Source organism: Homo sapiens, chromosome 1 (genome assembly GCF_000001405.40).
Source record: "Homo sapiens chromosome 1, GRCh38.p14 Primary Assembly".
Taxonomy (NCBI): domain Eukaryota; kingdom Metazoa; phylum Chordata; class Mammalia; order Primates; family Hominidae; genus Homo; species Homo sapiens.
The window spans coordinates 227,271,389-227,283,787 of NC_000001.11; the positions used below are offsets into that span (position 1 = coordinate 227,271,389).

General features: G+C 39.0%; 1 protein-coding gene and 1 pseudogene across 24 annotated transcripts in view; one reads left to right on the forward strand and one right to left on the reverse strand.

Annotated features, from left to right (window-relative positions):
* Nucleotides 1-12,399, reverse strand: part of CDC42BPA (CDC42 binding protein kinase alpha) — a 328,635-nt gene that overhangs the window by 281,531 nt on the left and 34,705 nt on the right. The window lies entirely within an intron of this gene.
* LOC100271842 (phosphatidylinositol 4-kinase type 2 beta pseudogene) lies at nt 7,057-8,135 on the forward strand (annotated as a pseudogene).

A 12,399-nucleotide genomic window follows, 5' to 3' on the forward strand; every position in this document is an offset into this window, starting at 1 on the left:
AAATATTAATCCACTTGGCACATCATTCCTATCATGCTATCAGAACTTAAATTCACTAAAGTAGCTATCCTTATTCCAGTTTCATTCTTCAAGTAAACATCTGATAAAATTTTTCCTGTAGGAAAAAAAAAAGCAGTGGGGAGAACGATACAAATGACTCTGATGGCTGATAGATATATTCTTTATTGGAAATTCCTAACTGGCATTCTAGTTCATCTACTTTGCCTCCTATAAATAAGACTACTGAATATACTTGTATCTCTGATTCTGATCAATAAGGCTGAAATTACGAGCTTAGTAAATTCACCCAAAAAAAGTCTTCAGTATTCATTTAACTCTTCATGTATTTAACTCTTTACTGAGCACCTATTCAATACCAGATATTGTACTAGAAATGGGAAACATTCTGGGTAGTTACCTACTCAATCTTCCCATAGCAACAATCTCATTACATGCCTTCTTTCGAGCATCCTCAGTTATCACACCACTAATAATGTATAAATCAACAACTGGTTCACCATAAATTTTACAAAATAGCTTCCTAGAAGATAAATTACAAAGAAAGAAAAAATAAATATAGGTACTAAGTAAATGTATTTCTATCCAGCTGGTAAGAACACTATTATAAATTAATGTTTAACTCTTTCATATGTTTAAAATATGACAAAAGTGAAAAGCAAAGTTTGGCCACTTTGTTTATCTTTTTAAAAGTTCTTCCAAATTAGATTTTGGAAAAAGAAAGAGAATGTAAAGATAATTTTAAGGTCACCTATAAGAATAAATGTAGGAGAAAAGCCAAGAAAACATTTAAAAAGAAATATTAAGGTCCTTACCCTACTGCTCTTAAAGTGTGTTCTAAAATTATCAGTTCCAATATAGACAATCTAAAAGTAACCTACATATACCACAGATATATCAGAATTGGATATTTTTATGTTCTTTGGATGGGGAAGAAGTTTTCTAAACAGAATGCCAAAAGAAAAACCCTAAAGGAAAAGATTTAACTAAATAAAAGATAGTTTTATTATGTACTGAAGTTTTATTTTTAAAAATACTCTAAGTTAAAAAGAAAAAATACAAATGGGGGAAATATATGTAATCTATGATGGTCAGAGGGTTGCTATCCCTAAAATTCAAGGAGCTCTTACAATATAGTAAGAAAAAAAAGAACACTATAATAGAAAATTGGGCAAATGTGTAAGGTGTTTTTGATTTTAGATTTGGGATCTCACTATGTTGCCCAGGCTGGTGTCAAACTCCTGGTCTCAAGTGACCCTCTGCCTCAGCCTCCCTAATAGCTAGTATTACAGATGTGAGCTACTGCTCCTGGCCCTGTAATTTCAAAAATAAATTATAAGTTGATTTTAAAACATATTTTTAAAGTCATAAACCAAGAGTATAATGAACAGAATAATTATTTTTTTAATGAAGTATATCAAGTAATTGAGAGATATGGTTTCAGAGTCAGAAAAAGTTGACTGCAAAACCTGGCTCCATCATTAAATAAGTTACTTAACCTATCTAATTCTCCATTTCTTTGCAGAGACTAAACTATTTACTAACTCAAACGTATTGGCAAGATAAGTATTTTATACATAAGTGAGATAAAAACTTCAAAGAGGGGTTGGGCACGGTGGCTCACGCCTGTAATCCCAGCACTTTGGGAGGCCAAGGTGGGTGGATCACCTAAGGTGAGATCAGGAGTTTGAGACCAGCCTGGCAAACATGGTGAAACCCCATCTCTACCAAAAATACAAAAATTAGCCAGGCATGGTGGCGCATGCCTGTAATCTCAGCTACTCGGGAGGTTGAGGCAGGAGAACTGCTTGAACCCGGGAGGCAGAGGTTGCAGTGAGTCGAGATTGCACCACTGCACTCCAGCCTGGGTGACAGAATGAGACTCTGTCTCAAAAAAAAGGCCGGGCATGGTGGCTCACGCCTCCAAGGCGGGCAGATCACCTGAGGATTGGGAATTCGAGACCAGCCTGACAACATGGAGAAACCCCATCTCTACTAAAAAAATACAAAATTAGCCGGGCGTGGTGGCGCATGCCTGTAATCCCAGACACTCAGGAGGCTGAGGCTGCGGTGAGCCGAGATGGCACCACTGCACTCCAGCCTGGGCGACAAGAGCGAAACTCTGTCTCAAAAAAAAAAAAACCAACAACAACAACAAAACAACTTTAAAGAGGCAAGACCTGGCTGTAAGATGACTGATAAAAATAGGGAGGAGTTCAACTTATAAGGAAAAGAATGATGCCAGTGGAGACTTCAGAAGAATATTTTAACCTGCTAAAATATGTGGGTGGGACTGAGACAGGTAGCACATGTGATCTGTCCATGGTCCTGAACCTCCATGAAATGTTAGGACAATAGTTCGTTCTAACTGTGAAATACTGATGACACTTCCTCAAAGTTCCGTAGGAATTCTCAGATAAGCACCAAAGGAAAAGAATGGAAGAAACAAGGAAAAAAAAAAAAAAAACACAAATAACCCAAAGCTCTTGGAACAGCTTAGCCAATGAGAGATGACAGGTTTGGGATTGGGAGGTGGTGGTGGGGGGAGGTGTTTCCTGGTTTGATAGTTTTCAAATATTCGTATACACCAAAAAAAAAAAAAAAAAAAAAAAAAAGGAAGAGTATTTCCCCCACCCTGTAAATTTGAGAGAAATAGTCTTACAGAAAGACTATGGAATTACATATATTTGGGTTTGCAGCAATTCCGTAGTATATATCTCCTAAAATGGCTGATAAAAGTTAACAATATACAGTTCATGAATAGGGTAGTAGAGATGCAAGGAGTGAAGGAAAGGAACCCCCCAGTGGCCACATCTCCACAAAAATTCTCCACCTTCCACACCTTATAATAGCTATGATCCAAAAGTAGGCACCTGACCCAAACTATTCCAATCAGATTATCTTTTTCTAAATTAAAAGAAACAGAGACTAGAAGTCACAGGAGAGGATCCTTAGGAAGAGCATAAAAGAAAGTGATTACTTTCATAACTTAAATGTGGAAATTTCAACTGGGCAGTCTCAAACCGAAGAGAAATGAAGTGTTATGTCTTCCAAACAACTAGAGGGGAAAATTAAATCTGGCAAATATACTGAATTAATCTAAAAGACAGTGAGAACATACGGAAAAATAAATATAGAAAAAGCTTTTTAAATGGTAGAAATATATCCAAATAAATCTGTATTTATAATAAATCTAAATGGCCTCCCTGCTCCATTAAAATACAAAGATTTCACACCACAGGAGAAAAATCCAGTTATATGCTGTTTCCAAAAACTATCCAAACACAAGAATACAGAAAGAATGAAAATAAAAGTATGGACAAAGATAAACCAGGTAAATAATATCCAAATAAAGGTATATTATTTATATTAATATGAAGAGAAAGGGGAAACTTTAAGGCAAAAAGCTTCACTACAGATAATGACTGTCATTAGAAAAAGGTGCAATTCATCAGGAAAACACAGAAATTCTACACTTTATATACCTAACTGACCTAGCCTCAATGTATAAAATGGGCAAAAACTGACAAGAGTTACACAGAAAAATTGGCAAACTTGCCATTAAGCTAGGTAATTTTAACACCTGTCTCAGTAATTGATAAGTGAAGCATACAAAAGTTTGAACAATCTAAGTAACAACCTGAATCTAGTAGACACAAATGCAATACAACTACAAGAAGAAATACTATTTTGAAAACCATACAGAACATTTTTAAATCTTAAATACTGGAGTATGATACAAATAAAAAATATTTTAAACTAATGGCTCTTTTAAAAAAGCATTGGAAATTAAGACATAACTCTAAACAATTCACAGGTCAAAAATAAAAATTAGAAAGCAGAGGGCATTTAGAATGGAATAATAATAAAAAGACAACATATCAAAACATATGAGATGCAACTAAGGTGGTATTTAGAAATCTAAAGTCTTAATACTTACATTAGAAAACAATAATGCTAAAAATTAACAAGCTAATCATAGAACTTTAAAAGATGGAAAAGAGAAAAGTAAAAGAAAGACAATACAGATGAGAGTAGATGTTAATAAAATTAAAACAACTATTAAATAGAGAAAATCAACATTACCAAAAATTCACAAGATTGATAAACCTCTAAAAGGAGTGCTGGAAAAAAAGACAGATGACACAAATAAACAATATTAGAAATGAAAAAATGTTCCCCCTCCCCCTCCCCCTCTCCCCCTCCCCACGGTCTCCCACTTTCCATGGTCTCCCTCTGATGCCAAGCGGAGGCTGGACTGTACTGCCGCCATCTCGGCTCACTGCAACCTCCCTGCCTGATTCTCCTGCCTCAGCCTGCCGAGTGCCTGGGATTGCAGGCACGCGCCGCCACGCCTGACTGGTTTTTGTATTTTTTGGTGGAGAAGGGGTTTCGCCATGTTCGCCGGGCTGGTCTCCAGCTCCTAACCGCGAGTGATCTGCCCGCCTGGGCCTCCCGAGGTGCCGGGATTGCAGACGGAGTCTCGCTCACTCAGTGCTCAATGTTGCCCAGGCTGGAGTGCAGTGGCCTGATCTCGGCTCGCTACAACCTCCACCTCCCAGCCACCTGCCTTGGCCTCCCAAAGTGCCGAGATGGCAGCCTCTGCCCAGCCGCCACCCCCTCTGGGAAGTGAGGAGCGTCTCTGCCTGGCTGCCCATCGTCTGGGATGTGAGGAGCCCCTCTGCCCGGCCGCCCAGTCTGGGAAGTGAGGAGCGCCTCTTCCCGGCCGCCATCACGTCTAGGAAGTGAGGAGCGTCTCTGCCCTGCCGCCCATCGTCTGAGATGTGGGGAGCGCCTCTGCCCCGCCGCCCCGTCTGGGATGTGAGGAGCGCCTCTGCCCGGCCGCGACCCCGTCTGGGATCTGAGGAGCGTCTCTGCCCGACTGCCAACCCGTCTGGGAGGTGAGGAGCGTGTCTGGGAGGTGAGGAGCGTCTCTGCCCGGCCGCCCCGTCTGAGAAGTGAGGAGCCCCTCCGCCCAGCAGCCGCCCCGTCTGGGAAGTGAGGAGCGTCTCCGCCTGGCAGCTGCCCCGTCCGGGAGGGAGGTCGGGGGGCAGCCCCCGCTCGGCCAGCCGCCCCGTTCGGGAGGTGGGGGGCAGCCCCCTCCCGGCAGTCACCCCGTCCGGGAGGTGCGGGGCGCCTCTGCCCAGCCGCCGCCCCGTCTGGGAGGTGTGCCCAACAGCTCCTTGAGAGCGGGCCATGATGACGATGGCGGTTTTGTCTAATAGAAAGGGGGGAAATGTGGGGAAAGGAAAGAGAGATCAGATTGTTGCTGTGTCTGTGTAGAAAGAAGTGGACATAGGAGACTCCATTTTGTTCTATACTAAGAAAAATTCTTCTGCCTTGGGATGCTGTTAATCTATAACCTTACCCCCAACCCTGTGCTCTCTGAAACATGTGCTGTGTCCACTCAGGGTTAAACGGATTAAGGGTGGTGCAAGATGTGCTTTGTTAAACAGATGCTTGAAGGCAGCATGCTCGTTAAGAGTCATCACCACTCCCTAATCTCAAGTACCCAGGGACACAAACACTGCGGAAGGCCGCAGGGTCCTCTGCCTAGGAAAACCAGAGACCCTTGTTCACATGTTTATCTGCTAACCTTCCCTCCACTATTGTCCTATGACCCTGCCAAATCCCCCTCTCCGAGAAACACCCAAGAATGATCAATAAATACTAAAAAAAAAAAAAAAAAGAAAAAGAAAAAATGTGTACAATTATGGACATTAAGAGAGTAAACAGAAAAACAATCATTGTGAAAAAATGTACGCCAATAAACTTTAAAATTAAAAGTGGGCAAATTCCTAGAAAAACTCAACTTGCCAAATGACCAACAGAGAACTTAAACAATCCTATCTCTAATAAAGAAATTGAATCCATAATTTAAAATCTTTCAAGAAAACTCCAGAATGAGATGGATTTATCACTAAATTTTTCCAAACGTCTCAATATTAAATGTAGAAATGGCACCATTATTTGAGGGACTACATCTCATCCTTTTTTATGAGGACAGCATAATGTTAATACTTAAAACTTACAAGGACAGTATTACAAGACTACAGACTAATCTCTCTGGCAAACATAATCCAAAAAATATCCTAATCAAAGCATTAGTAAATCAAATCCAGAAATACGTTATCCATCACAATCAAGATGAGTTTAATCCAGGAATTTAAAACTGATTTAATATTCAAACTTCAATGTTAATCACCACATAATGGAATTTAAAAACTGAAAAATCATTAAGATCCTCTCAATGCATGCAAACAATTGATAAAATTCTGTAACAGTTTTTACTAAAAATTTAAAATCTCTTAGAAAACTAGGAATAGATATACTGGATAAAACTTTTGTTTGTTTGTTTCTTTTCAGACAGTCTCACTCTGTCGCCCAGGCTGGAGTGCAGTGGCGCAATCTCGGCTCACTGCAAGCTCCACCTCCATGGTTCACATCATTCTCCTGCCTCAGCCTCCCGAGTAGCTAGGACTACAGGCACCCGCCACGACGCCCGGCTAATTTTTTGTATTTTTAGTAGAGACGGGGTTTCACCATATTAGCCAGGATGGTCTCAATCTCCTGACCTCGTGATCCAGCCACCTCGGCCTTCCTAAGTGCTGGGATTACAGGCGTGAGCCACCGCACCCAGCCACCCTTAGTAGTTTTTAACTTAACTTCTAAGCCAATATTGCCAGAGAAAAGATTCAAACTAGGCCACTAAGACTGACTTTAGAGCCCAGGCTTTCTCCACTACACTACAGCAGTGGTTGTGAAATTTTTCTGTTGTTGTTACACTGTCTCTACAAAGCTTTTGAAAAGCAATGTACTGCCTTGAACACTTTTAAATTATAACTCAAATGTTTAATTATAGGTTTAAATGGATGCAGATGGTGTAATTTCTAACCTATTTCAGATTGCGTATGTGCTTTAAATAGAATTCTATCAAAACCTGGAATTTATGAAAATTTATGGAAAATGTCCACAACATAATCTAATTGGCAAAGCCAGTCCTCACTGTCAAAATGACAAAAGTAAGACTTGTTCTCTAACACTCAACTGAGACTTGAAGGGAATACTAGGAAGTTAAGGTAGAACCCCAATGTTCTGGGATTCCAAAACAGCCTTTAAAATTCCCTTTTGTTTCTTGCATGGGATCAAGTTATTGGGATTAGTACTACAAAATATTGACCTTGTTCAATTTAGTACTTCAATTAGTATTAAACTTTACTGAGAAGTAAACCATACTCCAAATTGTATATCCCTAATTGCGTTTTGGGGTCCTAGGTCATGAGTTCTTAAAAAGAATAGTAGTACTTGAAATAACATATATTATTATAATTATAATCAACTTTAGCTCATCAGGGTAAATTAAAGAGGAGCATGACAGGCAAACATATTTATATTTGACTTATTTTTGTACTTTATTTTGAATATCAGTATGTCTGACATTCTTGGAATTTTTAGCACTGTTAAGGCATTAAGTGATTTAAATTTAAATTAGCCCAATATGAAGATGTGATTTTAGAGAAGCAGAAGTTACATTCTTTTCTTCAGGCTTAAAACCAATAACATCACCATTCAGACTTAACTGGGCAAGTTGTGGTCCTAGCCTTTTTTTTTTTTAAGCTTACTGTCTTGTAATTTTTTTTATTTAATGAAGTGTTTTGTGCAGAAGGTATTTCCTGAAGGTTAAATTAGGATGGAAGACAGATCCGTAGTTCTCTCTTCCATTACATCTTTCTTTTGGTCTTCATGGATGTGAGGATCCTGCTGCCTTGATGGCATTAGTTGGAAACCTGTGTTCTCCTAACTCCATCAACTCTTCATTAGCTCAATTTTGAGATAATGAAAAATTGACTGGAAATTTAAAATTCAAACTACTATCTTTAAATAAATTCTGGTCTCTTTTGAAGATGTATTCTAAAAGAAAGGAAATAAGTTACAGTGATGGAGGTACTGCTTTCATAAAACAGTTTTTTCAGTATTTTGATAATTTCTATACTAATTTTAATAATAGAAAACTTAGTAGACTGCTACTGTTTTATATCCTAAAGTTAAAATAGCATGGAAATATCTGTAAAGGTCTGACCATACCAGAAAATTAAAGTTGAGATATTTAACTATCATTTTCTTACTTCACATATTAAAGTAATATAATTTATATTATAAATTAAGTGGTTTAATTCTTTGTAATTCCAAAAGATATATTTAACTGAAGGCTTTATATTTGGAGACATTACTTTTATTTAATTAAATATGCTGCCTTATCACCCCAGAAATTTGTCAGCAATTTAAGCCTCTTTGTGGAGATACAGTTTTTTGCAGACTTGAAAATAATTTGATTCACACACACACAAAATTTAACATACTGTACTAAGGCCGGGAACGGTGGCTCACACTTGTAATCCCAGCACTTTGGGAAGCCAAGGTGGGCAGATCACTTGAGGTTAGGAGTTCAAGATCAGCCTGGCCAACATGGTGAAACCCCATCTCTAATAAAAATACAAAAAATTAGCCGGATGTGGTGGTGTGTGCCTGTAATCCCAGCTACCTGGAAGGCTGAGGCAGGAGAATAACTTGAACCTGGGAGGTGGAGGTTGCAGTGAACCGAGATTGTGCCACTGTAATCCAGCCTGGGCCACAGAGCAAGACTCCATCTCAAAAAAAAGAAAAAAAGATACAAAGTACTGTACTAAATGGAATTAAAACCTTGTATAAAAAAAGACTTATTTTCTATTAGAATAAGTCTGACTTTAATTTTTAATTCAAATGAATGTGTTATTACATAGCCTGGTATCAACCATTTTGCTTCAGAGTTCTCTGAAAGAAGACGGATAAGAATTTTGCCACTGGTTTGTAAGCTAGTGAAATAAAATACCTGCTTCAATACTTTTTATAGAAGCTCTTTTTCTTTTGCCCTCTTTCAAGAGCAACACATTCTCAAACAGTCCCTTTTGTTTTACACCTAAGAGATCTTCACAACACAAGACAGTACCATGGGAACATATGAGATGGGTGAGAAATATGCCTTTATTTTATAAAAATGGGAGATGGTTCATTGTGAAATGGGAGTGGAAAGAAAATCCACAGAGTTCAGACTGTTCTCAAACAGATGGATTTTAGAAGACTAATTAGGAAAGCTAAAGACCTGAAAATTGATTCCCTTAAAACTATATGCATCCGCATATCCCTTGGAAAGTCTTCACGCACCAAGGATACAGATACCACAGTTTGAAGACTATTACACTAAATTATCTCCTGAGCTTTAGTAGATCTTTTAAAAACTAAAATTGCCAATTTATATTTTAACAAAAAAAATCTGATCTTAATTGACTCTCCGGTATAAATGAATGATAAAAACTTACAAATGGACTGCATTCTGGAAGTTCTGTTTCCTAATAGGGATCGTCTGCAGTATGCAAGAAGGATTGTTTTAGCTGAGACAGAGATCAGTTTCTTAGCCTGCTTCTCTTCTAAGGTAAGCATGCCAAGCCAGGGATCCCAGCACAACAGCTCAGGGGGTCAGAACTGCCTCTCAGGGCCTCTGCCTCTCTGGGATAGACCGGCTGCTACTGGTAGCCAAGACTCCATCAGCAGTTATGCAGTGCCTGTTCCATAGCCCAGATACTGCACCAAGTCAGCTGTCTCTCTCCTCACCACATTCTCCCAAATTCCAATCCTTCACTTCCACAAACACCATGGCCCATGTGAATGTGGAGAATACTGAGCCATGTGAAAATCTAGGCCAAGCCAAACTGAGAAAGTTAGCCTAGCAAAACCCTTTATTGCTGTGGTTTAAAGAAAGAAAAAGGCAGTCCTTTTAATCAATCATTAGAACGCTTTCTCGTGATTGGCTGCTCTGGTTTTACACAAAACCAGGTGGGGTGTGAGTAGGTCATTGCCCTAACCCTCAGAGTCACTTTTTTCCCCCACTCTCACCCCAGACATGCCAGGGAAACTCCAAAGCTCCTCAGAGCACAGCTCCTAAAGGGATTACCAGGCCCAGTTCTCCAACCTGTACAACTGCCAGCCCCATTCCAGGTCCTGTGATTTCAGGCAAGGGCTCTTCTCTTGGATCCCATGGTCCAGTAGACATGAGGCCCTCAAAAGCAGTTGTCCCAGGGCCCCTGGAAGCAGCTCAGAGCCCCCACGCTTGCCAGTCTCCAGCTGGTCAGTCTCCTGTGGCTGGTTCCCCATGCCTGTACTGAGCCAGAGGTAGTGGGACCTGGAGGCCCTGAGCACCAGGCAGCAATTAAGTCTCTGAGAACCCTCCCAACCACTAGCCTGAGTTAGAGCTTTTGCAAGTGCTCCAACTCAGACAATTAAGTTTTAAGACAAAGCATGAGGCTGAGCAGAGGAGTGAGATCAGCACTGCCCAAAGACTCAGGAGTCCTGAACCTCTGCACATGTCCCTTAATAACAAAATGGGAAGGGGAAAACCTACCTGGCTCTGGGTAAAACCAGAGCAGTCAATCAGGAAAAAAGAGTTCTAATAATTAAAAGGAAGAGAAGCCAGGCATGTTGGCTCACGCCTGTAATCCCAGCACTTTGGGAGGCTGAGGCGGGTGGATCACTTGAGGTCGGGAGTTCGCGACCAGCCTGACCAACATGGAGAAACCCCGTCTCTACTAAAAATACAAAATTAGCCGGGCGTGGTGACACATGCCTGTAATCCCAGCTACTTGGGAGCTGAGGCAGGAGAATCACTTGAACCCGGGAGGCAGAGGTTGTGGTGAGTCGAGATTGCGCCATTGCACTCCAGCCTGGGCAACAAAAGCAAAACTCCGTCTCAAAAAAAAAAAAAAAAAAGGGAAAAGAAAAATTTTAAGTGAATTAGAGTAAACATTACCTAGAATGGCAGAATTAATATTCTTAGGGTGAGAACAGAGATTACCTAAAAATTATTTTATGGTTCCTATTCAGTCCTGTTAAAATGTGATTTCATCACTTCCTAGGAGTTTAAACCAAAATTAATTAAGCGGTTGTTTATATAATACTCTAAAATGTCTGCATAGAAAATAAAATAACTTCCAGTGTTTACTGTTACACATGTGGGATGTGAGGACTGTGATAGCAGCTAAGTCAAAAAGACAGCAGAATTCCTCTAGCACACACTGCAGCAGCAACAGGCTCTCTGGTATTACCGGCAGTTATCTAAGATCTTGATTAATATGTTATTTTTTAAATGCAGATAAATAATTTTTCAAGTATTTAAAACAGTAATACTGTTTGCTTAGGAGCAGGTAAAACACAAACAGCAAAGAAGCACAGCTCTACCTTACTCTTTGCTAGTGGTTCTTACATTTATTCAAGTGCAGAACCAGTGAAATAAGCTAGTCAAAAAAGGACAAATACTGTTATGATTCTACTCATGAGGTACTTAAGAGTAGTCAAATTCATAGACAAGAAGTAGAATGACAGTAGCCAGAGGGCAAGGTATGGAAAGTGGGAGTAAAGTCATTTTTAATGAGTACAGTTTCAGTTTAGCAAAACACAAAATGTTCTGAGATGGATGATCAGGATGGTTGCACAACAATGTGTATGTACTTGATGTCACTGAACTATACACTTAAAAAAGATTTAAAATAGTAAATTTTATGTTATATATATTTTAACACAATTTTTTAAATAACTTTTTATAATTCATGGGATGAAAAACTTTAAATTGAGAAAATTCTACCCATTGACTTAATCTTTCCTAAAAATTAAAGATTTCTATTATTCTATTTTAGTGGCAGAACATCACTACTCTAAGGACCATGACTTAAAATACACATATTGATACAACAGTATGTTCCTGGAAAAGTACATATAGTCTCATTTGTACTTTTTGTACATATTTTTGTAAGCAAACATTTATAAATCTGTTGCTATTAAATGCTACAGAAAGTTTTATATAAGCTTTCTATATACACATAAACGAGAGAAATATAAATGAGTGAAAAGTATTGACCCACCAAAAAAATGGCAGGCTTACTCTTCATATCCTATGAAAATACTATGATAATATTTACTAATAGTTTATAAAATTTTATCATAATCATTTACTACTCTCTCCACCTAAAAATAGAAAAAGCAAATGAAAACCAGGTAGGAAGATTCTATTTGTAATGAAAATGTTTATGCTATAATTATATTTATTTTCAAAATGCTTTATAAGTGGGAGCTAAACAAAGGGTACATATGGAGATAAAAATGGAGGAAAAAAACTCGAGACTCCAAAGGAAAGAGGACAGAAGTACGGAGGGTGGAAAAATTACCAATGGATACAATGCCCAGTATTTGGGTGATGAGTACGGAAGCCCAACCCCCCACCATTATGCATGTAATATCCATGTAATAAATAAGCATATGTACCCTTGCATCTAAATTTTTTGTTAATGCTTTATT